A 27,801-nucleotide genomic window follows, 5' to 3' on the forward strand; every position below is an offset into this window, starting at 1 on the left:
GACTAAGTCCCATAATACAAAGACCACGGGTCTTTCTTGACTAGACTGATGATGCTATGGGGGTGGAGGTGGAAGTGGGAATCCCTGGCTCTCAGCCACAGTTCTATAAGGGTCACCTTCGTGCCCTCATCTGTATGCTCCAGTAGGCTCATTACCCAGGAGAGAATTATCTCCAGATAGAGAAGGGAAGAGTTGATATAATGTAGACCAAACTCCACCCAGCCATGCCCACAGGCTATGGTACGGGAGACCCATTCCTCCCAGAAAATGGTGAACAAAGGCTCTGCATGCATTTATCAACTTTGTAACAGTCATGGTAACTTCTTCTCCCTTGGCTCATTCATTTATTCATCCATTCATTCATTCGGCAATTATTACTGAGTGTCTGGGACAAGCTGGGCACTTCTAAGTGTACTGAACATGACCAACCAATCACCTGCCCTCAGGGAGTTTACAGTCCAGCGGGAGAACATAGAAAAGAGACAGTCTCAACAGCCAGCAAATACAGTGGAGGCATCAGGCAGTGATCAGAGTTGTGAAGGAAATAAAGGAAGGAAAGGTGGGGTGGGAGGAGGAGGGTTCTGATTCTGACTTCATAAAGGGCCCTCTCTCACAAGGTGAAGTGTAAACAAAGACCTGCAGGAAGTAAAGGGGCTACAAGGGATCCATGGAAAGAGCATTCCCAGAAGCGGGGCCAGGGCAGTGCGCACAGTGAGGAGAGCAGGTGTGTGTGAGGTGAGTAAGAGAAGACACAAGGGTGGGGGCCGCGGGAGGCAGAGCCAGGAGGGCAGGGCTGAGTGGCTCTGGAAGCTCTGGAAAGGCCAGCGGTCAGGTCTGATGGTGGGTCTGAGCAGAGTCGCTTTGTGACACCCTTCTGCTACTGCATGGGGCGAGGGAAGAATCCCAGGATGTGGTCTGGGAGGCAGGAGCACAGAGGCGACAGGGTGGTGACCTGCCCATTGGCCTCGGCCGGTATTCTGAATGCAAGGGTCAGCAGCAGCAACTGTGCAATAGTGCCTTTCTTTTCAAAGAGCCAGCTGCTCTGATTCACAGACAGTCCCTCCCAGTTGAGGGTTCATCAGGAACTAGAGGACCAACCAACAAGGTCATTTACCTGTCACCACTGCTGCATTCACTGGTAATCAAAAGGGGCAGGGTAGGGGAGGACCACGAACCCAAAGAGAAGGTCTGGGAGCATGCAGACATGCCTCTCAAGCCTCACAATTGTCCTTTTGCTAAATTTAGGTTGAAACAAAACGTTCAAAGCCCCCTCGGAAGCCCATCCACAGGTGTGTGACTGTGAACCGCATCGTAATCTCCTAGAAAGCAAGAACATCAGGCTTACATTTTCCACTTGCCTCTCACGGCTCAGAGCTCTGCAGTATATACAGTAAGCACCAAATGAACACTTTTCAGATAAATTAAATAACTGCAGAATAGTCATAATGACAGTGTTTTTTTTAAAACAATATTTAATAATTGCTTACTCTGTGCCAGTACTTTTCAGCCAAGGGCAATTTGCCCCCCTGCCGCGGAGACATTTGGCAATGTCTGGAGACACTTTTGGAGTCACAAATCAGGGGAGAGATGCTGCTGGTACATAGTAGGTTCGGAAAGCTGCAAAATGTCATACAGTTCACAAGACAGCCTCCCTGCCCCCCATAAGGAAGGATTCTCCAGCCCCCAAAATCTAGCGCTTATAAATCACTATTTATTTTCACAGCTACTCTTTTTTTTTTTTTTTTCCAGTTGAGGAAACTGGGCCCTGAGACATTAACTTGCCCAAAAGATCACAGTGGGCAACATTCTAGAGCACAGTGGAAGCCGACAGGTAAATAAGTAGATGGGTAGAGTGCAACAGACAGGCAGACAGATTGAGACAAAAATGGGAAAACTGGGAAATATGGAAAAGAACAGGGAATGGATGAAAAGTAGTCCTAAGCCAAGCTCTGCCAAGAAATGACACATGGCCCTGGGCCTTCCCCTCCTGACTCTAAACCTGAGAGCACACAGCTATAAAATTCCAGGAGGTGTAGAAGATCACTGACTTCCAGCTTTAACATCTTCAGGACAAGTTTTTCCCTGCAACTGAAATATTAGCATTATATAAATACTCGTAAACACGTGGCAATATTCACCGTACAAATCCTAAATTCCTTCCCCTTTACTCAGCAAAGGCAGGAGATGCCAAATGTCTTATGATATACTCCTCCCCTCCTCCTTTCCTTGCTTCTAAAAATATCTGTGAACAGCCACCTGTGCCAAGCACTGAGCCAGGGCTGGAAATATTCTAATGCCAGATGTGCAAAGTCCTTTTTAATATGGTGTATTTGTGAAGCTTCCATTACTTGGCCAGCCCCAAGGTGGGCAATTTCCCTACTGCACAGATGGGGCACTACACTGGGACTCCAGCTAACTTTATAAGCAGCAGGCAAGACTGGGGGAATTGGGGTGCAGGGACAGAATTCCCTCCCCACTCGGATCATGCCTCCCAGTCAGTGTCAATATCTACCTCTCTGCTCAATAAATCCTGATGATCATCTTAATAGAAATCATTACCTACTAAATGGCAAAGGAATGAGAAAGCAAGGCAATATGGATGAGAGAAAGAGGTTTTGAGATGAGATGTGAGTAGATTTGGAAAAGCCGGGTAGGGAGAATCAGTCTGTCATGGCTAGCACGGATGGGTCAATGCCGGCAGCAGAAACAAGGCTCCCTGAAGGTCAAGGTGACAGGGGGAAGCCAGGAGGAGCTGGAAGACAGTTATGGATGGGCTCCAAATTGGTCCCTAAAGAAAATGATGTTTTCTATTTCTTATGACAATATTGTTATAGGGCTGTTAACAAGAATCAAGAAATGTCAGACTGTGCCAAGGGATGACATCCAGTAACAGCCTGAGCTGGTTTGATTAAGCCATTTAATTAGCATCTGTTTGGGGCTGGGCACTGAACAGAGGGTGATCCATTCACCATCTGATTCAATTCTCTCATTAAAGGAGGTAGTAGGTATTACTCTTGTATATATCGCAATGAGGAACCAAGACCCATAAAGGTGCTAATATTTTGCTAAACCAAATAAAGTAAAAGAGTGTATCTAATGCCCTGTTTCTCTCACCACCCTACAGCAATGTCAGTGAAGATGGAAAACAGAACGTGGAGAGAGATGTAGCTTACTAGAGCCCTGTGGCTTCAATCCCCACCAGGAATGTCGTTTAAGAGGAAGGTGATCTAGCACAAATTCACATTTGCTTGAGGAAGAATACAAATGTATGTCTGTTTATCTTCTTGGTCTGGAAAGTATTATTATCATGTCCATCTTATAGATGCAGAAAGTAAGACCCAGAAGAATCACATGATACACGTGATATCACAAATATACTGGCTGATAAGGCTGGGACCTGAAACTAGTTCCTCTCTCTAAATGGCTAACACAGAAAACCAAGGCAACGACAGTCAGGGAAGGCAGGGACTTCCTGAGGCTTGGAAAGGTCAGGGGAAGCTTCTTAGGGCAGGTGAGATTTGAGCAGAGCAGGGCCAGCATTAAAGACATCAGCAGGGAGGAGAGGTGAGATCAAAGGACTGGGGACAGGTAAGGGGTATTCAGGGGTCAGGTAGATGGATCTGCACTCACAAGCCCTGATATCAAAGGCCAAGTGTCCATATAAACAGAGAGAAAACCCAAGTCTGATCCAGCAATGTCTTGCTCAAAGCCCTTGAAATGACTTCACATCAACTGTGCTACTCAATTCATATGATCTGGCTCCTGTCTACTTCAGTAGCCCCAACTCCACTTGTAGTATCCCGTATTCATCATCTACACCTATACACATATGCAGGCTATTCCTCCAGCCTACAGACTCTTTATCCCACAAATTAAAAAATTTCCAGAACGGCCAGGCTCAGTGGCTCACTCCTGTAATCCCAACACTTTGAGAGGCCAAGGCAGGCAGATCACTTGAGGTCAGGAGTTCAAGACCAGCCTGGCCAACATGGTGAAATCCCGTCTCTACTAAAAATACAAAAATTAGCCAGGCACGGGGGTGCATGCCTGTAATCCCAGCTACTCAGGAGGCTGAGGCAGGAGAATCGCTTGAACCTGGGAGGCAGAGGCTGCAGTGAGCCAAGATCACGCCACTGCACTACAGCCTGGGCAACAAAGCGAGACTCCGTCTCCACCCCTACCACCAAAAAAAAAAAAAAAAAAAAAAAAAAAACCAACAACAGAGACACATTTCCAGGGGATTTCTTCCAGGTACCACCTGTGGGAAGTTGTCCCTGACACTCCAGGACAGACACACTCCCAGTAGGCAATGCCTGTTAGGCAGGTAGGATGCTATACTAGACTGGCCTGCTGTGTCCCACTTCCTCACTAGCTACTAGAGGGCAGGACCCATAGGTCTACACCCATGAGGTAGACACTCAATAATTATCAAGTCTACAAACACACGGTTACGGATAGAGGAAGGGAGTAAATATAGTATTAGGTGAGTGAGTCCTTGGCCTGCGGTTGGCCTCAGCTTTCTCTACTTTGCCAAAGAAATAATATCCAGCTTTCTTTACTTGTCTGATAATGTTTGTAAAAAGATCCAGAAGCTCAAAGGTATTAACTGTCACCCCCCTCCCCACAAAAAAAGGCATTCTTGGAATGAGCTTTTATTTCAGAAAAGAAACCAATTTATGTAGTGTCATCATAAAATAATGCATAGAGATGATGAACTGACGATGATATAGTGATAAGAATTCTTGTTTCATTTATAATATAAACCTTAATTCCTGCCCTCCCCCAAAATGAGTTAACTTACAATTAAAACACATGTATATAGAACACCAAAGTGCAGATTAAGCAAAAGGCAATATGCAATGGGGAAAGGAATTGGGAAGGAAATAATTACATGAAGTCACAGCCAAAGATACTGACTGCAATCAACCATCCAATTTTAAGGCAGCAGCCTCAGAAGGAAGAGAAAAAGACATGAGTTGAATTAGGTCTCTCTCCTTTGACAGAAGGGACATTGAACAATGTCATGGGAAATGGGTTAAGCTTCAGCCTTTCAAGGGATATAAACTATCACTAATGCATTCCAGAAGATGAGGAATCAAATTTACTTGCTGTGCTCAATATCATGAGAGATAAATATGCTAATAATATGATCAGTTAGGGTATAACACACCAGACTTCCTCCATCCAATGACTCTGGTCTGCTTCAAAGTAGCCACATTAGGAGGCTTTTCATTTACTTCCACTGAAAATGCCACCAATCCCTCAAAGAGCTGGGTGCCCTTATTTAAGGGCCTGCAAAGCCCATTCCCAAACAACAGGCGCTATCAAGGACAATGAAGATCAACAACAGGAACACAGGATGGACATGGCCCTAGCCCCTTCCCTAAGCCTTGGTTCCTACAGTTGCAAAGATCTTTATCTCTGCTTCCTGAGGAAGGCTGTCAAGAGAAGCAAATGAGTTAGCGTACACACATGTAGAGGCTCTCATGCTTACCCGTTCTCCCCTCATCAAGTATTTATGGAGGACCTATAAGATGCCAGGCATGAGTCTCATTGTTGGGGTATGGAAATGACAGAAGTCCCTGCCCTCATGAAGTGTGTGTGTGCGTGTGTGCATGCGTGTGTGTGTGCGTGCATGCGTGCGTGTGTGTGTTGAGGGAGACAGAGACCAAAATACAGTTAACCCTTGAACAACACGGGTTTAAAGTGCATGAGTCCACAAATACACAGATTTTCTCTTGCCTCTGCCACCCCTGAGACAGCAAGACCAATCTCTCCTCCTCCTCAGCCTACTCAACATGAAGATGAAGATGAAAACCTCTATGATGATCTGCTTCTACTTAATACATAGTAAATATATTTTCCTTTTGATGTTCTTAATAACAATTTCTCCTCTCTAGTTTACTTCACTGTAAGAGTACAGTATATAATATATAACATACATACAAACTACATGTGAATCAACTGTTACTGTTAAAGCTTCTGGTCAACAGTAGGTTATCAAGAGTCAAATGTTCAGGAAGTCAAAAGTTATATGCATCTCCACGATGTGCTTATTTCACATTGCATGCCTGTACCAAAACAACTCATGCACGCTGTAAATCTATACACCTACTATGTATCCATAAAATTGTTTTTGAAAGCTTACACGAATTTTTGACTGTGCAGGGGGTTAGTGTCCCTAGTTCCCATGTTGTTTAAGGGTCAACTGTAATATGACTGTATTATACAACATATTAAAAAGTGGTAAGGAGAAAAATTAAGTAGGGATGAATGATGAGAAGTGGAGAGGGGGTTGCATTTCTATTTTATTTTATTTTTATTATAATTACTTTTTTTTTGAGACGGAGTTTTACTCTTGTTGCCCAGGATGGAGTGCAATGGTGCTATCTCGGCTCACTGCAACCTCCGCGCCTCCCTGGTTCAAGCGATTCTTTTGCCTCAGCCTCCCAAGTAGCTGGGATTACAGGCATGCGCCACCACACCCGGCTAATTTTTTTCTGTATTTAGTAGAGACAGGATTTCACCATGTTGGTCAGGCTGGTCTGGAACTCCTGACCTCAGGTGATCCACCCACCTCCACCTCCTAAAGTGCTGGGATTACAGGCGTGAACCACTGCGCCCAGCCTGCAATTTTTTTTTTTTTTTTTTTTTGAGACGGAGTCTTGTTCTGTTGCCCAGGCTGGAGTGCAGTGGTGTGATCTTGGCTCACTGCAAGCTCCGCCTCCCGGGTTCACGCCATTCTCCTGCCTCAGCCTTCCCAGTAGCTGGGACTACCAGGCGCCTACCACCATGCCTGGCTAATTTTTTGTATTTTCAGTAGAGACGGGGTTTCACCATGTTAGCCACGATGGTCTCGATCTCCTGAACTTGTGATCCGCCCACCTCAGCCTCCCAAAGTGCTCGGATTACAGGCATGAGCCACCGCACCCAGCCCGGCCTGCATTTCTAAGTAGAATGACCCGAGAGAACTTATTGAGATAGTGATATTGGGGCAAAACTTGGATATCTGAGGAGGTTAAATTCAGGAAAGGGAATAGCTAGTTGTATTCGTCAGAGCTGTTAAATTCAGGAAAGGGAATGGCTAGTTGTATTCGTCAGAGCTGTAGCAGGAAAAAGATGCCATACTCAAACTGGGTAATTTGAAGAGCGTGTAATAACAGAGTAGAATGGTGCTTCCTGGGGCTGGGGGGAGGAAGAAATGTGGAGGTATTATTCAAAGGGTACAATATTACAGTTACACAAGATGAGTAAGTCCTACAGAGCTACTGCAAAACACAGAGCCTATAGTTAACAATACTGTATCGTAGACTTCGAAGTTTGCTGGGAGGGTAGATTTATGTTAAGCCCTATCACTAATAATAAATAAAGAGGGCAGCAGGAAACAGAGGTGATGGATTATAGACTGTGGTAATGGGTTCACCAGTGTACATTTATCTGCAAACTCATCAAGTTGTACACATTAAATATGTACAGCTTTTTGTATGTCTTTCATCCTCTATAAAGTCGTTTTAAAAACAAACAAGGCAGCTTTAGATATAGTCACTGAATCAGTAATTAATCTACTTAAAAGTCCTTGTATTCAGACCATATTTCGCTACAGGAAAATAATGATTAAGCATTCAAATGCCTTGCTTTTATTCAGCTATACTATGTCTTCTGAAATCACCTTATCTATTATGCAGTAAATTCATGAAACAAAAAAGAAAAGCAGGGCTTACGGAAACAACAAGAGCTTCGGTAGCCCCAGGTTAGTGATAGTAGGCACCATGTCACCTCTAGGCCTGAAGTGGTCCCAGAAAGGACATCAGAAATGAGACACAAGAACAGCACAGAAAGGTCGTGTGCAGGAGCTGTGGTCTTCATTGCTTCGTTCCTTCTGCCCACAGAGAAGCAGCCTCGGGGAGCGGGCGGGGCTGGGGAATCCCTGGCCTCCCTCCTTTCCTTCTGGCTGATCTTCTGCAGAAGACCTCACAAAAGGGAGCTGAGGGGCCAGGAAGCCTGTGGATGCCCTGAAGAAGAATGAGTAGATCTGAAAGGGCAGTAGAACAGAACCAGAATCCAGTGCAAAGGCCCTGGGGCAGGAGTTCGCAGGAGAAGCGGGGAGAAGGAACCAGCCTATGATCCAGGAATGCAGTGAACAAGATTTGGGAAGTTGACAGAGAATATGAGGCCTCCTCTCCAAACAGAAACTCCAGGACGCTTGGTTGAGTCACTGACACATGCACAGTGCTGAGCATAGTACCAGACACCAGAGTCTGTGTTCCAGAAATGGAAGAATAGGTGAGTAATGAAAGTCTAAGTAAGCAAATTCTTCGCAAATGGGGAAAAGATTGAATGTATAGGGCTGCATATATTAGAAGCCCCCTGGAATCTCTGCATCCAGAAGATTGCAGTCACCTTTGAAGCACTCACCACCAGAGTCTACTCGCACACTCTCCTGTGGCAGCCGTTCACCTCGGCCCTTTTCCTAGGGATTTGCCTTCAAGTCCCAGAATGGGCCTCAGGGTCTTTGCATTCGCCTTTCTATGAGTCTGAAACACCACCCACCCCCTCACCTGTGGGCAGGCAAAGCACCTCCTGTGTTCATGTCATCTCCTGTATCAAGCCCTTCCTGATGACCAACTTGCAGCCGGGTGCCCTCTATCCATGCCTCCATGGCCGCCTATGATAATGTCCCCCATATCATTTACCATTCTGCTCATGAATTTGGCTTCATTCATCTCGCAACAACCCCAGAGTATTAAGCCACTCGAGGGTGGAAGCTGGTGCTTTTACCTCCGCACCTCTCATGCCCGACAGAGTCCATGGCAGAAGGCCGGCTCTCAGATTTTAGCTGCATTCCTGAATGAAGGAATCAATAAAAGCCACACAGCATTAAGTGGCAGACTCTAGTAATTTAATTCCTGGTCCTGGGCTCTTTGATATAAAATAACTCTTCTATTTTTAATACACCCCACATTCCTGAAGATGACACTACTGCAAAATTAAAGAAATGTGATGAACAGCTTACAACCTGCAACACACTCGGCAGCTCAAAATGACAACATTAATTTAATGAACTTAAACACTGGTGAACTTTTTAACACATCCAGAGTTATTTACACTGGGAAATGCATACTTAAGACTGCCTGCCAAAGAGACTCAAATAGAGATGACACATATATCTTTCACATGTTAATTTGCATTTGAAACTTTGAGCTTTGATACAGGTTGGCTTTTCTCTTTTGGAATGAAGAAATCAAGAGACTAATTTTTTACCCATCCATCCATCTATCCATCTATCCATCCATCCAGCCACATCTTTCCTAAGTGACAGGTAAATCACTAGTTGTTGGGAATGCAAAGAGATAAACCTTGCCATCACAGTATATTTAGGGAGATAGACAAACAGCAGTGAATATAATGTAAATTTAGTATAATAATCAAACGACAAAGTGCTGGGGGACACGGCTTGTTGAATGGCTTGCTGGGGAGAAGCAGAAAGACCATAGCATTCATGGAGATGGTGGGCATTTGTTTTCCAAGGCTACCATAACAAACAAAGAATCACAACCTGGGTGGCTTACACAATAGAAATGTACTGCCTCACAGTTTTAGAGGCTAGGAGACTGAGATCAAACTGTCAACAGGATTGGTTCTGAAGGGTGTCAGGGAGGGATACGCTTAGGGCTTTCTCCAAGCTTCTAGTAACCTCAGGAGTCCTCAGCTTCTAAATGACATCCTCCGTGTGTCTCACATCATCTGATCCTCTGTACATGTCATTCTGTGTCCAAATTTCCCCTCTGCACAAGGACACAGTCAAATTGAATTACAGCCGCCTTAATGACCTCATCCTAGTTTGATTATCTGCAAAGACCCTCTTTCCACATAAGGTCACGTTCACAGGCACCAGGGGGTTAGGACTTCAACATCTTTTGTGGGAGACACAATTCTAGCCATATCATAGTGATGTGTTGGATCTTGAAAGACGAACATGAGCTTGCCTACAAGGACGGCAGAAGAGGGTACTGATGTGGTCAAAGGAACAGAGAATGGGAGACCATGGGATGGGGGAGCTGGTGCAGAGGTGAGGGATGACACTGGTGATGAGAGGCCTTGATGCTGGACTTCATCCTATTAGTAGTGAGAGACCACTGAAGAGTTTTACGAGAGGAACTAAAACAACAGTAGTATTGTGCTTTGAAACACTCTTTGTTCATCTGCGGGAGGGCTTTTTGCTTTCTCTCTTGCTTGTTTCTCTTTGTCCTGGGAAATTGCATGGAAGCCCTGTTTAGCTTTCATGTTTCAATGAGGGAGAGGAGTTTGGGGTTCATGCTTCTCTTTCCTAATAATCCTGGCCTCAGCTCTGGTATAGGACTGGTCTATAAACTAAGTGGAAAGTCATCACAAAGACCTTCTCCCACCTCTGTTTAAACTGGGAGAGTCGGTGGTCACGCCCCTTCAGAGTAAGGGGTTCAGAGACATAGGCAAAAGGAAACATCTTCCATGCTACCTCTGGCTACCATGGAATGCCTCACACCTGTTTCCTGGAAACACATAATATCGAAGTTGGAAGGAACCATAGAAGTCCTCCAAAACATGTTCCTGGAACTTGGAAGGTGTAGGAGATCAGAATCTGCCAGCCCAAAATATGTCACTTTAGCAAAAGCATTATTTTGAATAAGAGACAACTGAGAAGAAACAGAACAAAAGCTCTCTGCCCTGCCTAAAAGCAGGACATCAGTTTACAAAGGTAGCAGTGTCCCTTCACTCCTTCTTCCAGGAAGGACAAAGGCTGATCATGAAAGAAGCTTTGGCCCTTCTCAGCCAGGAGAAGGCACTGGAGGAATCTGCTTAACAAATTCCCATGTATTTGATATTTGCCTTCCCACAGTTGCTGCACCTAGGGACTCGAAGCCTTTTTCCTTTGTTTTGTTACTTACCTAAAAACTTACTGTTCTTTGTTGAAGATGCAATATAAGCTGGATTTCTAAACCACCCCTTTGAGAACCATGCACTCCCTGGGTGTCCCCCCTGCATACATGAAATGCACACCTTAATAAACTTCTGTTTGATTTTCTCCTGTTAATCTATCTTTTGTTACAGAGGTCCGTCCTAGCTAAGAACTTAGAGGGAAAAATTGATTTTTTTTTCCTCCCCAACAAAGGTATCTCAGAAAATACCCCAGCAGTGGAGGAAAGGGAGGGTTGAAAGAACTGGTGAATGAAGGGATCCAAGTCTCCTGGTCCTGTTTTGCCTTCAGCAGCTCCATTTATCTTCTTTAAATAATACGTTTATTGAGATATAATTCATATACCAAATAAGTCACCCTTTTAATGTGTACATTTCAGTGGTTTTTAGGGTATTCAGAGTTGTGCAGCCATCACCGCTATCTAATTCCGTAGCATTTTAATCACCCAGAAAACAAACCCCAACCCTCCCCATATTCCCGCCTTCCTCAAACCTTCAAAACCACCAATCTACTTTCTATCTCTATGGACTGGCCAATTCTGACATTTCATATAAATGGAATCACATGTACATATGTGGCCTTTGGTATCTGGCTTCTTCCACGTAGCGTGTTTTCAAATTTCACCCATGTTATAGCATGTATCAGTACTTCATTCCTTGTAATAGCTGAATAACATTCCATTGTATGGCTAGACCACATTTTGTTTATCCATTTATTAACTGATAGACATTCAGGTAGTTTTCACTTCTTGGTTATCATGAATAATGCTGTCTTGAAAAATTTTGTACATGTTTTTGTTTGAGAACCTGTTTTCAGTTCCTTTGGGCATAGATACCTGGAGCGGAATTGCTGGGCCACATGTCAACTCCACATTTCACTTTTTTTGGAATCACCCAACTGTTTTCCAAAGTGGCTGTTCCATTTTATATTCCCACCGGCAATGTATAAGGGTTCCGATTTCTCCATATCCTCTCTAACACTTGTTATTTCTTTTTGATAACCGCCACCCTAGTGAGTGTGAAGTGGTATACCATTGTGGTTTTGATTTGCATTTCCCCAATAACTAATGATGCTGAGCATTTTTTCATGTGCTTTTTGACAACCTGTGTATCTTCTTTGGAGAAATATCTATTCAAATCCATCACTCAATTTTTTAATTGGCTTATTTGTCTTTTCATTGTTAAGTTATAAGAGTTATTCATCTATTCTGTACATAAGTCCCTTATCAGATAAATGACTGCAAATATTTTCTCCTATTTTGTGTCTTTTAATTTTCTTGAAGGAACCCTCTGAAACACAAAAGATTTTAATTTGATGAAGCTCAATTTATCTATTTTTTTCTTTTGTTGGTTGTGCTTCTAGTGTCATATCTCAGAAACCGTTGCCTAATCTAAAGTCACAAAGATTTACTCTTATGTTTCCTTCTAAGAATCTCACAGCTTTAGCTCTGATCTTTTGGTTGATTTACTTTATTTTCATTTTTACTCTTTTTAGAGGATAGCAATCCATAAAAAATGTGTTTTAACTCCCCCGATCCCAAGCCACCATATTTTAGATTCTAGAAAGGAGATAAATAACTTGCCATGGTCACAAAAGGAGTTTCAGGCATCGATGGACTCAGAGCAAGTTCTCTGCCTCAATGTCAACAAATGACTCTGGCTTCCCACAAAAGATGTACAGGTCAAACCTCCCTGACATGCACGAAGACCTGGATGCTGTGTAGGTCAGAAGGGATCCTCCCCTCTCTTCACAGAAGACTGTGGCACCCCCACGTAAACAGTCAGATTCAGATGTGCAGCAGCCTGAAATGACCCTGCGTCATTTGCTTCTTATTTGTCCCATAACTGTTTCTGATGAATCTCAGGCCCTACATTCCACCCTCGAAACCTACCCCAGGTATACAGGGAATAGAATGTCTTCTTCAAAGCCTCCCTTCCCCACATGGGCTTTTGTCTCATTCACTCAGCTGAACTCACTGAGCATTTACCAGGTACTCTGGCTTTGGCTTTGGGGATGCAAAATTGAATAAGACGACACACCCCTGCCCTCCCAGAGCTGTCAGTTTTGTGGAAGTAACACACGCTAAGTCCTGGCATTTTAACACTTTCCCAACATTTAGTCATAACAAGCGTTAACTGCTAATATTAATTACTACACACCTGGCTCTATTTTTGTGCTTTAGGTGCATTACTTAAGTCCATAACAGCGTTATGAGGTAGTGATATCACTGTTCCATTTTCCAGGACATATCACACACCAACCGTGTGCAAAGCACTCTACCTAAAGATCAGCGCTAACAGAGGAATAAGCAGAGGCCTCCAGGAGCAAAGAGTGAAAAGTCTCCCAAGGATTCAAGTACGGGGGAAGTGGGTGGAGCTTTCACCGTAGAATCTTTCCTGGAGAAAAAGCAAAGAGTGGGACAACAATGAAGGCATTAAAAATAACTGTCAAGTTGAAGAAAAAGTGAGTAGTGATGTGGCTGGATTCTAGGGAGATGGGGCTGGGTAAAGGCAGAGTGTACAAGCCTCTGCCAGAACTCACATTCACACACCACAGCCACAAGAGCCGGCAAATTACATGGGGAAAAACTCTGCACAAGCTTGCCTTGTGCTGACATGTACTATTATTATACACTCTGTGCCTTTGAGACAACCTGCCACACACACACACAAAGCCAGCAACTAAAAGGAAACTGGCATTAATACAATTCAGTGTGAGGGTATGATCTGGGGGTGTGGAGGTGGAGATGACGTTGTTTTATTTCTTACAATAATACATGTATTTCAGGTAATCGAATTTGGTTCTTAGCGCTAATGTCATTTTCTGCTAATTTAATGTCCCAGGAATCCCTCCGAGTAAGAAGATTGCTCGTGGAATGCAAATAAAGCCCATTCTGGGAAAAATAACCATTTCCCCAACCCAGGTGTGCTCAAAGGCTGAACAAAGGCCAATCCCACAGAGTAGAGGGAGTTAAATAGATCCTAGGAGGTGGTCTGGATATGAAGGCTGCTTGCTGGGCGAAGGGGCAGTGGTTATTTGAGATTCTTCATTGTGAAAGCAAACTAATCAGGCTCTCTAGCATCAGGCATTTGGAAAGCCAGCAGGGCACTCAGGGGCCTCAGATGGCTCAGATGGGAGGAGAGGAGGGCAGGGAAATGAGGAAGGGGGAATAGTGTCCATCTGGCTAGCTCTGCTTCCAAAGGAGCACGAAGCATCCCTCAGCCTCCTGGTTGGGCAGTCGTAAGAGACCATGCCAGGGCCGGGCGCGGTGGCTCACGCCTGTAATCCCAGCACTTTCGGAGGCCGAGGCAGGTGGATCACGAGGTCAGGAGATGGAGACCACGGTGAAACCCCGTCTCTACTAAAAATAAAAAATTAGCCAGGTGCAGTGGCAGGAGCCTGTAGTCCCAGCTACTTGGGAGGCTGAGGCCAGAGAGTGGTGTGAACCTAGGAGGCGGAGCTTGCAGTAAGCCAAGATCACGCCACTGCGCTCCAGCCTGGGTGACAGAGCGAGACTCCGTCTCAAAAAAAAAAAAAAAAAGAGAGACCATGCTTCCCAGTTTCCATGGACTGGAAACTGTATGTCCCCATGTATGTCCCTATCCCCCCCGCATTCTTAACAGTGTTCCAGTTTGGACAAGACATTATACAGTCATCCTAGATACAGTGGGCAGAGTATGACAGGAAGAGTGAAGAAAGCAAAGACAAAATTTGCAAGCCGTGTAACCTCAGCGTACGTACTTACTCTCTCAGGCCTTAGTTTCCTTATTGGAAAAATGGAATAACAGTACATGCCTCGCAAGTTTGTCAAGATTAAAAGAGATACCATGTGTCCTTTACCGTGCCAGCCCTGGGCTCACTGGGCACGTGTAGAAACTTGATGGGCGCTGAGTTATCACTGGCTGTTGGTGCACACCGGCAGGACCAGCCTGGGATGCCTGGCTTTGGGAATAGCTCTTTTCCATCCTAATTTCTTGATGAACTCTCGAGCCTCCCTGTCTCCTGTTCCTGCCCCTGGGCATCTGACATCCTCAGTTCACAGCTAACTGCAGAATCATAGCATGAAAAAAGGCATACTTCTCCAAGGGCTGAATAGGATTTCATAAACCAAAAAACCTACAGCTTTCAGCTGCGGTACTGTCCTGGTCTAATTTACCCTGCAGCCACGCAAGACAATGAAGTTGGGAATTTCTATTTGAGGGAGTATTTTTCCCCTTCTCTCCCTCTCCTGACAGTGGTCTTCAATAACAGCCTGTGAAGCTCTGGGTGCAGGGAGGCTAAGGGAGGGAGTCAGAGAAGTGAACTCACTGAAACGCATCTGCAGAAGCAGATCACTAAATGTCCCACAGACAGTGGTGCAGCTGACAGTGCCTGAGCTCAGTGGGGCAGCCTGGGGAGAGGAGAAGAGCAGGAAAAAATTAAGCTCTTCCTTGGGCCTGATGAAGATTAATATCTCCTCCCTGATGAGATGAGGCAGTTTAATCGCTGCTATTAATACAGAATCACTGAGAGCCAAAGATGAGGGCATGGAAGGAGGCGGGGGATGAGATGAGAGCACCTCAAGGTATGAGTACAGAAGCGGAGAAGGACCCCCTGAATGTAGAAAGACACAGCTGATTTTCTGCAGGGCTCAAAAGCCAATAGAGAAATTTGAGAGCTGAGGCACTGTGTGGTATGATACAGTGTTTCAGACTTGCTGTGTTGCTTTTCCTACTGGGATCATCTGACTGATTGGGTTAAACATGCCGATCCCTAACACCACATCTGGCATACGATCTCAGCACACAGACCTTGACCATCGCTTCCTGGAGAGCCCAACAATGGCAGGACTCAAGCGTGGTCTTCTGACTCCTCTCCTTGGCCTATTCCTAGTCATGCTTCAAGATTCAGCCCAGGAGGCATCTTCTTCCATGAAAGCTTTCTTGGATGTCCCCAGATACTTAGGTGCCCCTTTTTCTGGATTCCTGAACACCGGCATACATACTTCTATTATAGCAAGTATGCTAAATGGCAATAGTGAGTCCTTCCCTGCAAAAGAAGATTGCTCTCAGCCTTAAATTCTTGCTTCCCACCTTTCTATAATTTCCCTTTTTACTCATTAATCAGTGTTTCCATCATCTCATCTCCTGGTTTCCTCCGAGGACCTATTATCTTCAGAAAAGGTCATTATCACCTAAGACTAACAAAAGAACAATTTTCATCAGGACAGAAACTATGTCTTAATCTTAGTGTCTTTCTCGGACTCTAGTCCAGTATCAGACGTACACTTGGTACTTAATAAATATGTGCTCGGTATGCAATGATCTAAGAGAAAAAGAAGGGGTTAGGGCATAAATGGAGGCACCAAAAAATCAGCTGGCCACCTAGGGGAAACCTCCACATCCAAAAAGAAAGGTGCAAACCAAACCACTATGGAGACCTTGAAGTCCTGCAACCTGCTCAAAAGCCACAAGATCATTCTCAAAGGTGCGCCATTAAATAAAAGCAAAAACAGTTCATGCCCTCCCCCGCCACCGCCATCCTCACTCACTCAAGCTCTGTGTGAATTTTCAACTCAAATATGCTCAGGATTCCCGACTCTCCAAATCCCACACCATCTGACATTTGGGCCTGAGAGTTTGAGAAATGTGAAAGAGGCATGGAAGAATCCCAGAAGAGTAGGCCTTGTGCAGAGCAATGTTTACCTTCGATTGTCACAGAATGATCTGGAACCACTTCATTAAATAGAAGGAAAATTGCAAATGTGAAGGCTACTAGTTTGGGATTCATAAAAGAAGGCAAGCCTTTGTCAAAATATGTCTGCTGTGTGGATGATAAGCAGCACTCTGAGCACGAAGGCCACACGTGTGGAATAAACGCTGCAACATTATAAGCACTGAGGCTTCTGGACCCCAGCATTTAATTAGATTACAGTCTTGACAATAGCTCACCTGATACATCATGCAATAACAAGCTCCCTTGGGTAGGTTAAAAATGCAAATTAAGTGTCAGAAATAGGAACACCACCTCAACTACTGAATGCACTCCCACTAAGTGCAAAGCACAGGAGATGGTTTAAAGAGGCCCAAAAGCCAGTTTTAACCTTCAAGGCACAGGTTGATAGCAATATAAATATCTATAGAAAGACCAACAACTGAAGCATCAAATATTAGTCACCTGGATTAGTTGCAAACATTTCTGGTGGAGGGAGCTGAGACTCTCCTACACACCCAAGTGTGCTGCAGCCAAGTGCAGAAATGCGGAGCCAACAACTGCACCCAACACCGCTGGGCTTGGAGTTGCGAGAAGAGCAGGCTTCTGGCAGCACCAACACAGCCTGCAAATACCCATGACCATAATTTCTCACGATGCCACAGGCAGGATGAGGTGAGGACCCCGTGAAAGCGACTGCACAGAAACAGAGACACTGAGAAAGCACAGGCCAAGCGCCTGGAATGGCAGCGGGAAGAAAGAGCTCTGTCCTGCAATCACCTTGCAAGAAATCCAACCTTTCCAAAGCCCAGAGCCAGGAGGGGTGTGCAAGAGAACGTGAGTGGGTTCCATGCCCACCCTCCAGATGGATGGAGCCTCTGTTCGGGCAAAGAACTGCTCCTTGGCTGAGGGTCCCAGCAGAACCAGCTTCAGATACCCCACTTTTAACCACTCACAAATGAGAACGTACCAGTTGTCACCAACCGGCTGTGTTTCTGCAGTTCATTTAACCATTTGGGGCCTCAGTTTGCTCATATGTAAGATGGGGCTAACAAGGGTTCCTCTTTACAGGCTGAGACAATACAGCCTGGTAAGCAAAATCATGGTCCCTGGAGACAAGACGGTGAGCCCTGGAGTCCCCCCAACTCTACTTCCCAGGGGAGTGACTTTGGGAAAGTCATTGAACCTCTGTATACTTCAGTTTCCTCGCCTGTAAGCAGGGATAATAGGACCAGCCTCATAGGGTGGTTGTGAGGATGGAATGAGTTAATCCAAGTAAATCACAGAGAACAGCACCTAGCATATAGCAAGTGCTCCACAAGCATCAGTGACTACTCTTCATGTGATGATGTAGCTGTTCTTTTCTATCCTGTTCTCATAAAGGAGGCGATCACTCACTCATCAACCTTCGTGCACCGAGCACAATGTGTGCAAGGAACTGTCATGTAGTATGAGTTCCCTTACTTGGCATACCAGCCCCTAAAGCAAGGACTAGGAGCCCACTTGGTCTGAGGTTCAGAAAGGTCAGGGGACCCCTCCAAGGCCATGTAGCCAGCAAGTCGCAGCATCAGATTCAGGGCCCAGGTCTTCTGGTGCAAGAACCCCTGCACTTTCTACCCTACCACATGGCGAGAGCACTGCCTAATAAAACCACGCAGATGCTTCAGCTTTACTTCAACCAGATTTTTCTTTATAATAAAAACAAAAGTACAATGTCTTTTTTCCACTGGAAATTTTAAAAAGGCATCCCTATCTTTCTTTCCAAATAATGTCTTTTTTTAATTTTCCTAGTAAAGATGGTTGACACTGGCTTCTAGCTCACCTCACTATTGGATGTCACTGGTTCAAGAGTTCCAACACCCAGTGATAAAGTCTGTATCTTTGTCCCCTCCAAATCTCATGTTGAAATCTAATCTCCAATGTTAGCAGTGGAGCCTGGTGGGAGGGTCTTGGATCATGGGGGCAGATTTCTCATGAATGGTTTAGCACCATTCTCTTGGTGCGATCCTTGTGAGATATGGTTGTTTAAAAAGCGTATGGCACCTCCCCGTATTCTCTCTCCTGCTTCTCCTCTGGTCATGTGACACACCTGCTCCCACTTTGCCTTTCGCCCTGATTGTAAGCACCCTGAGGCCTCCCCAGAAGCCAAGCAGATGCCGGTGCCATGCCTGTATAGCCTACACAACCGTGAGTCAAATAAGCCTCTTTTCTTTATAAATTACCCAGCCTTAGGTATTTCCTTGTAGCAACGCAAGAATGGCTTAATATACCCAGGTAGGAGCGTGTTGGAAGTTCACTGTCAGATCTTTGATCAGCTATCAATATGTCCTGAACCAGCCATGGATCACTCGTCCCACACAGCTCTTCCCACCGACCTCTCTGCCAGTATCCATTTGCTCAGGTCAAAACCTGGAGTCATCACTGACTCTTTCTTTCTCTCTCCTTCACAACCCAAACATCACCAAGGCCTAAAACCTCTACCTCCAAAACCTATCCCCAGGCAGCCACTTCTGCCTCATCTCCATTGCCACTACCACCATCTAAGTTCAGGTCACCTCACTGCTTCTCTGTAAAAGTATGTTGGCTACCCAGCCGGTGATCTGGCCTAAATTCCTGTCCACCATAGATCATTCTCTATATAGAAGCCAGGCTTATTATTGCTCTTCGATCTGACCTCCACCACAACTCTTTGAGGTAGTCAGGGCAGATATCACCACCCCCATTTTACAGATGATGAAAGGGAGTCCTCGACTTGTCACATGGCTATTTAGTGATGAAGTTCATTATTCTACAATCCAGTAATTTGACTTGCACAAGACATTCACCTTCCCTGGGTTTTAATTTTCTCTAAGAGACAGATAACGTTAGCCCAGCTTGACTCACAAGGCTGTTGTGGAGATTCAATGAGAAAGTGAGCTCTTTCACATACCAGCTGAGTGACCCTGAGCAATCCACTCAGCCACTCTCAGTTCTCATTTTGTGCTTTTTCCATCATGCCCCGCTGGCTGTGAATCCAGTCCAAGTGCGTGCAAATTATGCCTTTGCTTTATATTTACTGAGCAACAACTATGTGCCGCAACAGATTTTTTTAATACTCTATTTTATTTGCAATCACAGATCTGAAGTTTATCAATACATGATCTCCTCAAAAACGAAAGGAATAAAACAAGTATCTGCAATTTGCTGAGAACTTAATATGTGTCAGTTGCCTGCAAAACTCATCATTCTTTAGACTTTCAAATACATCTGTGAGGACGGTATTGTTGTTTCCACTTACACATGAGAAGGCAAGAGACAAGCCCACGGTCACCCAGCTGGTAAGTGGAACAGACAGGTTTCAAACCCTGAGTGTTCTGACTGCAAAGCCCCTGTCCGCTCCAGTCCTACTATCCCCACTCCCAGGAGGTGGATGCTCCTCTGTGATGGGAATGGAATGGGGATGCCTGGCGTACCTGGGAGCTGCTAGTCTTCCTCTTGCCCAGGCTATGTGGCTCCTCTGTGTCTTCCTAAATGACAACGTGCTTTCCCATGGGTCCTCAGAGCATGCCTGCTGCCGTGATGCCCTCTCCTGACCTCTGGCCCTACAGGGCCCTATTAGGTTTTATGTACTGTGTTCTCATTGCACCGGGGACACACTTGGACTTCTGGATGGCTCTGCCACGCTCACGCCCTGGAAAACACCTCATTGTCCCTGTTTCCTACTGACTGGTACAGTGCTCAGCACAGAGGAGGAACTACCTACAGCCAAATGATTGTCATAGAAAGGAGGGAGGAGAAGGAGGAAAGACAGGCAGCAAGATGCACTGTATATATGGTGGGTGAGAACGTGGGCTCCAGGCCACACAAGTGGCTCTGCCACTCACAGGTTGGGACCTAGGGCAAGTTTCTCAACATCCTGCACCTGCCTTTCCCTCTAAAAGGAGGGTGATGCTAGTGCCTCCCTGGGTGATGTGTCATGAACATAAATGCAAGTGCTTTAGAGCAGCACACACGGCAAAGCCCCACCAAGTGTTAATTTCTATTATCCCACACTAAGGACCGAGGGAAGGAATTGCCTCAAAGCCTGAAGGAGCCGAGGGATTTCACCCAGGGAACAGAACAAGCGAAGAAGCCAAGAAAATATGCAATCCAAGGGTCTCTTTCTGATGACTACCTGTCACTGAAGCATCTGGAATGCAATACAGGGACTGTTTGGAGCAAAGGTGTGGACCAGAGGGAAAACAGCCTCCTTTCTATTTGTCAGAGAGCCATCAGAGCAGCAAGAGCTATTAGGAAGAAGACTGGTGAGAGCAAAATGAAAAAATTTTGTAAATACTCACTCTTGGTGATCTTTGCTTATCCGCCCCTTCATGCCACTCACCTCTGAGTGTTTATCCAAAACATGAAATTAAGCCGTGGGTGAGGTGCTCGTCTCTGTCAGACCTGTCTCCTTCAGTGCTGGCTCAGAACCAGTGCGTGTGTGTGCCCTGACAATCTGAGCACCCAGAAGGCTTATGTTCATGTCTGCACTGGGGATTTGAAGAGTCCAAGAACCAATCTGCCCCCAAACTGCGCTCAAGTGAGCTAAGTGCAGCATTTTGAGAAGCGTTAACTCACAGATACAGCTTCTAGGAAAGGAAAGGCGAGGGCCCGGTTCTCGCTACTGCTTGGAGCAGGCTGACCCTAATCTGCCCTGAAAGGCTGGATCCAATCATCCATCAGCCACAGAAGCCAAGGCAACTGGCACAGGATCCCAGGAGGCAAAGAAAATGCATGGCTTGAAAAGTGATAAAAGACACAACCGAGCCCACTGAGCCTGGGTGGAAGTTCCGACCTAGTACATTTCCTAGGATCTGTGAGGCATTATTCACACATAGGGAGAGGACCAACTCTACCTGATCCCTGTGGAGAACTAACCAGGAGGGAGCGACCTTACATAGAAAAAAAAGAGATCTAGAATCATACCCATTTAAGAAATGAAAGAAACCTTAGAGAGATCACACAAGGCATGCCTGCCTGGGTTCAATCTCAGCTTTACCTATTTTCAAACTTCTCTGTGCCTCTGTTCCCCCATCTGCACAATAAGAATATCAGCACGAAAATTAGTCGGGTATGGTGGCATGCGCCTGTAGTCCCAGCTACTCGGGAGGCTGAGGTAGGAGAATGGCGTGAACCCGGGAGGCAGAGCTTGCAGTGAGCAGAGATCACACCACTGCACTGCAGCCTGGGCGACAGAGCAAGACTCCGTCTCAAAACAAAATAAGAATATTAGCACCTACTTCATAGGACAGTTCTGAGGAAGAAACTAGTTACTACAAGTCAAGGACTTGGTGCCTGATGTACAATAAATGCTCCATAAATAGTAACTAATATTATTTTTATTTCTGGCACTTCAAGATTCATTGAGCATCTACTCTATTTCAGGTATTTTGCCAAAGACTAAGGATTCGGAGATGACTACGGAAAGGTGAGTCCTCACTATCTGGAGTGTGTGAAATCCAAACAAATAATAATAACAATGACTTGGCCAGCGGAATGAATGAATAACCTTGGTGATCCACCCAATGGCACTGGCACTTTGTGCTGGGCACTTTTGTAGGCAATGTTATTAGAGTCCACAGGAAAGTTCTAAAAAGGAAGTATGCTATATAAATGAAGTGCAATTCAACATAATAAATGATTAACAGAAGTACAAACAATATATTTGCCAGGCACTTGGTGTGAAAACTAAGATTTAAGTCAGAGGAGATAAAATAGGGAGTGAGGCTGTTGTGCAAGACAAACAGTAGGCACTCCATCAGCGATGTTGTTACCATGCTGGTTATTATTAAATCCAAGTCCTGGAGCCCAGGAGAGGAGGAGGGGGCGCTGAGACCAGGAACCCAGAGGCTGCACTTAATCCAGGTCAAACTTCTCAAGTGGGCCAGAAGAGAGGCACTTGTTCAAAATACAGACACCTGGGCACCTCCCCTGAGGAACCCCATTTAGTAGATCTAGGGCAGGATTCTGGGCTGTCTTGTTCATTAAGTGCCCCGGGGTGGACTGGAAGTCTATATATTAAACAAATGCCCCAGGTGATTCTTATCATCTAGCAAATGCTGGAACCAGAGATCTAGGTGACCTCCTTATAGGCAAGAAGAGGAAATACTCTCTCAGGTTCCTCTGAACTTTGATTAGCAGCTAAAGGCAAGTCCAGATTGAAAGGACTAAGCTTCCCGAGGAGAGGAGAGCAAGGAATGAGAAGCCAGAGGCCAAGGTGCCAAGATCCACTTTGCAGGCCTGTGTGACAGGTCCCTGCCTACCCTTCCTGACCTCATCCACCATGTTGCTTCTCCTCCTGACCTCATCCACCATGTTGCTTCTCCTCTCTTCTCTTTCTCTCCAGCCACCCAGACTCCTCCTTGGCATCCTACAAAAGCACCAAGCACTCTCCATCTCTTGCTCTTCTCCCTGCCTGAAACTCTTTTCCTTCCCCTCACCACCTGGCTCTGCTTAATGTCACCAGTAAGAGAGGCCTGCCCAGATCACCCTATTAACACAGCATTTCCCTTTCCCCACTCCTCACCAAGCCCATTGCCCTGGCACTATCATCTCACTTTGCTTTATTTTTCTTTGTTGCACTTATCAACACTCAGCAGAGCATGATGTTGTTCGATCATCATCTCTCTCCATCCACTAGGAAAACTAAGCTCCATGAGAAGAGGGGACTTGCCCATGTGGCTCAGGGCTCTATGCCCAGTGCCCTAGACAGTGCCTGACTGTGTGTGCGGAATGAATGAATAACCTTGGTGATCCACCCAATGGCACTGGCGCTCAGTGACCTCATCTGAAATGGTAAACCCTTCTTCCCTAATTAGGTTATGGGGGGATTATTTCACTGTATCAAGAAAGCTCATGTCCAAGAGGGCCAAGCAAATGAATCATAATTGTTATCAACAGGTGCAATGGAGAGGGTTCCCAGCTGGGACACCACCTCAAGCATCCATCACTGGCTGTGTGCCAGAAATGGGGCACTGTGTGCCCTCTGCTGGAGCAAAAAAAAAAAAAAAAAAAAAAAAAAAAGCCAACTATCCATTATCTAAGGCTCCACCCCAGAAAGAAGGAATCTTGGCATGGCCAGGGTTCTTCCTATCAATGCAGGTTTGTTTTTTTTTTTTTTTTAGACAGAGTCTCAGTCTGTCGCCAGGCTGAGGTGCAGTGGCATGATCTCGGCTCACTGCAATCTCCACCTCCCGGGTTCAAGCGATTCCCCTGCCTCAGCCTCCCGAGTAGCTGGGATTACAGGTGCCCGCCATCACGCCTGCCTAATTTTTTGTATTTTAGTAGAGACGGGGTTTCACCATGTTGGCCAGGATGGTCTCAATCTCCAGACCTCGTGATGCACCCATCTCCACTTCCACCTCCCATCCCGTAGCTTTAAATATTCAACTCTGTTGACTCCTTGAGCGACCTGTTGCTTCCAGAAGTACAGTCAACATATCCAAAGCAGCTGCTGAGACAAAATGACTCTGCAAACCTAATTCATGCTAGGCACCATGGACTCGTTTTCATCTTGCAAAAACCCTCAACAGCACCCCCAATTTACGCAGAGTCAATTTGCGGTAAGAGAGGTTAAGTGACTCAATGTGGACACACAGCATTTAAAAGGAGGACTGGGACTTAGACAGCCCCATCCAACATATCTGTTAGGAAAGTGATTAAACTCTGCATCAGAGGATGGCCCTTTCCTCTTTGTTCTTTAAAGTTCTCACTACAGGTCATTTTGATGAAATAATTTAATTTTCTCCAAACATGGCCAATGCATTCACAAGGAAGTGCCAGTGCATTTATGACCACAGCTGCAGTATGTTAGGAAGTCTCTCCCTGCCCCTTTCTAATGCCTGAAGAAGGCTGCTGAGGCTGTGAGCTTCGTTATATCACAGTTCTCTAGGTTTCAGTTCCTCAGTTGTAAAACAAGGGTCTCTCTGGACCAGGTGGGTGACGTTTTTGCATCCCTCCCAGGAGACTTTCCAGGATTCTAGAAAAATATGAGAATGAAAGGAAAAACAAAGATTTGTTAAATGACCACTGTCGGATGTAACAGGTCATTTAGTCTTTATAACAGCGGTGTAAGCTACAGGTTGTGCTCTCCTCTTTTTTTTGAGATGGAGTTTCGCTCTTGTTGCCCAGGCTGGAGTGCAATGGCACAATCTCGGCTCACCGCAACCTCCGCCTCCTGGGTTCAAGCGATTCTCCTGTCTCACCCTCCAGAGTAGCTGGGATTACAGGCATGTGCCACCACGCCTGGATAATTTTGTATTTTCAGTAGAGATGGGGTTTCTCCATGTTGGTCAGGCTGGTCTCGAACTCCCGACCTCAGGTACCCGCCCTCCTCAGCCTCCCAAAGTGCTAGGATTACAGCTGTGAGCCACAGCGCCCAGCCCTGTGCTCTCCTTTTTATGGAGAAGAAACTGACCTGCAATGATGTTGAGTAACTTGTCTATTTCACTCTGTGATTTAAATGATGTCTACTAAAATTCAAACTCCCATCCACTTGTCCTTGGGGGCTATGTTCCCCCAACCATCAACATTTGCCCTATAAAAAGTCCTTCTGTAATTTTCAAAAGTTTTATCTGTTTAGGCTGTAAGCCAGCCTAGATGACTCCTGATGTCCGTTCCTTCTCTTGATTATATGAGTCTATGACAGAAACAAAATGCAAACTGCATTAAAGGATTAACTGAATTTTTTCGTTATACTGGCTTATAAGAATCCTGCTAGCCACAGAAGTTCGCATGTCTTCTCTGTTGTCCAAGATACCCCATTTTCACTTGTCTCAGGGTTTGTCTCGTCCTTGTCTAAAGCTTGAGCATATCGACTTTGAAATGTCATCTACCAGTTGTTTCTATATCTGCAAGTTCTTCAGTGACTGCAGAATAAAGGACCTTTTTAGACAAGGACAGGCTCCCTTGCTATCTTGGTGGCCTTGCTCAAACGGTACAACGTCCCTGAGCCTTAGTTTCCTCATCTATAAAATGGGACAAGGATGAAGTTGTTTGGGGGAATAAATGAGATAATATGTGTAAAATTCCTAGCCCAGCACCAGGCCAAAAGGTGGAAACTCAAAGTCTAAATGAGCCAGACAGAGTCAACCACTGCCATACGCAGATACCAGAAGCTCTTCCCTCTCAATTCTGTTCTATGTAAACGACAGTGCAGGGATGACACAAGGATCAACAAGGAAGGATGGAGATCGTGACAAAATGGATCATCCGAGCACTGTGCACATGGACAGCCAGTACTCAGCTCCAGCCAGTAGCTACTATGATGAAATGAGGGTCTGGTTTTGCAGATCTTTTCACTTTTTTTAGGGAAAGCCAAAAATCATGACTTCTTATGTGCAATCTCCCAATATTTAACCATTAGCAACAAATTCAAAAATGGTAAAAGCAGTAGGCGGGCCAAACCCAACACAAGTGCAAGCCAGATGCAGCCAATCTTGGTTTAACATGCGATAAATAGAAACGATTGCTACAGTTTCCATTATTGTTATAGTTTAAATAGTACATTTCCTTCTTGTGTTTCTATATCTTCCACAATACAATAATAAAAGGTTTTTTTTTTTTCCATTTCCAGGAATAAGGATTTTATGAAAATGCATGTTTGTTGAATAACACAAAGGAGAATATTATCTAATGTGGCTTGGGGTCAATATCAAGCAGTAATATTGTTTTAGTATTAATTAGAGCCGTGTCATTGCAAGAGCTGGTAAGAATACTGGTCTTGTTTCCAACTGATGAAAACACTCATACAGATTAGGGTTTTTATGAGTAAATTTCAGATCTTGAAATCAGTGCTGTGATCCACTCTCATAGGGTGAATATCTGTCCAAATGGTATATCAGAAAGGAAAAAAGCCAATGTCATTACATAGAAGTGTTAAACAATGATCTCTAAAGAAAAGTTTCATTCTTAAAAAGCATTTGAACTTCAAAGCCCAACAATGACATAGATTCACATATCCCAAAGGTTAAGAAAATTCCTCTCATCTAAAAACAATGCAAAACCTACAAAATCACTTCAAATTCTGCTACCATCAAGATTTGCATAGTTTTTTGAAAACTAAAATAACATATTCAGAAAAATGAACAAGTCCTAAGTGAAATACTTAGTGAATTATCATAAAGTGAGCCCAGCTATATAGTCATCACACAGGTTAAAATTAAAATTAAGGCTGGGCGTGGTGGCTCACACCTGTAATCCTGGCACTTTGGGAGGCCGAGGAGGGCAGATCACCTGAGGTCAGGAGTTCGAGACCAGCCTGGCCAACATGGCGAAACCCCATCTCTACTAAAAATACAAAAATTAGCTGGGTGTGGTGGCACACGCCTGTAATCCCAGCTACTTGGGAGGCTGAGGCAGGAGAATCGCTTGAACCTGGGGATGGAGCAGAGGTTTCAGTGAGCAAAGATTGTGCCACTGCGCTCCAGCCTGGGAGACAGATTGAGACTCCATCTCAAAAAAAAAAAAACAAAAACAAACAAACAAAAATTAAAATTAAATTATTAGCAGCATCCCAAAGTCTTCCTTGGGGCCTGCCCCAGTCTCTGTTCTACCCTCCCTACCAGAGTTAACCACCATCTGAATTGGTAAGAGCCTACATTAATTTTTGCCTGTTTTTGAACTTGGTATAATTGGAATCCTATAGTATGTATTATTTTGTGTATGTCTTCTTTTGCTCAATACTGAGAGTAATTTCATTTTCATCACTCTATAGTACTTCACTATATAAACGTGCCACTATTCTTTTTTTTTTTTTAAGACAGAGTCTTGCTCTGTTGCCCAGTCTGGAGTGCAGTGGCATGATCTTGGCTCACTGGAACATTCGCCTCCAGGGTTCAAGCGATCCTCCTACCTCAGCCTCCCTAGTAGGTGGGGCTACAAGCATGCTAATTACTACCTAATTACTACCAAGCCCAGCTATTTTGTATTTTTAGTAGAGATGGGGGTTCGCCACATTGGCCAGGCTGGTCTTGAGCTCCTGGCCTCAAGTAATCTGCCTGCCTTGGCCTCCCAAAGTGCTGGGATTACAGGCGTGAGCCACCACACCCAGCCCCACTATTCTCATTTTAGTGTTCATGAACATTTCATAGTTTCCTGTCTGGTGCTATTATAAATAACGCTGATGTGAGCACTCTAGT

The 27,801-nt window shown here is 45.0% G+C and overlaps 1 protein-coding gene and 1 long non-coding RNA gene across 24 annotated transcripts in view, besides 2 other annotated features; one reads left to right on the forward strand and one right to left on the reverse strand.

Moving 5' to 3' along the window:
* Window positions 1-27,801, reverse strand: part of LARGE1 (LARGE xylosyl- and glucuronyltransferase 1) — an 856,162-nt gene that overhangs the window by 657,704 nt on the left and 170,657 nt on the right. The gene's annotated exons all lie outside the window — the stretch shown is intronic.
* On the forward strand, window positions 620-26,451 carry LARGE-AS1 (LARGE antisense RNA 1). Of its 2 annotated transcripts, NR_038949.1 has the most exons (10): window positions 620-735; window positions 1,246-1,390; window positions 1,750-1,831; window positions 3,125-3,266; window positions 7,890-9,319; window positions 13,198-13,417; window positions 19,763-19,962; window positions 22,049-22,091; window positions 23,304-23,458; window positions 26,238-26,451. It is a non-coding gene; the product is annotated as an LARGE antisense RNA 1 (long non-coding RNA). The 2 variants fall into 2 exon arrangements; NR_038950.1 differs by lacking the exons at window positions 1,750-1,831; window positions 7,890-9,319; window positions 23,304-23,458.
* Window positions 13,745-14,264: an enhancer, noted in NCBI's record as "NANOG-H3K27ac-H3K4me1 hESC enhancer chr22:34134097-34134616 (GRCh37/hg19 assembly coordinates)". NCBI's record gives its function as "activates a minimal SCP1, AML or CMV promoter by ChIP-STARR-seq in naive and primed H9 embryonic stem cells {active_cell/tissue: H9 hESC(naive and primed)}" and the evidence as "EXISTENCE:reporter gene assay evidence [ECO:0000049][PMID:30033119]".
* Window positions 14,265-14,784: an enhancer, noted in NCBI's record as "NANOG-H3K27ac-H3K4me1 hESC enhancer chr22:34134617-34135136 (GRCh37/hg19 assembly coordinates)". NCBI's record gives its function as "activates a minimal SCP1, AML or CMV promoter by ChIP-STARR-seq in primed H9 embryonic stem cells {active_cell/tissue: H9 hESC(primed)}" and the evidence as "EXISTENCE:reporter gene assay evidence [ECO:0000049][PMID:30033119]".

Source organism: Homo sapiens, chromosome 22, assembly GCF_000001405.40.
Source record: "Homo sapiens chromosome 22, GRCh38.p14 Primary Assembly".
Classification (NCBI taxonomy): Eukaryota; Metazoa; Chordata; class Mammalia; order Primates; family Hominidae; genus Homo; species Homo sapiens.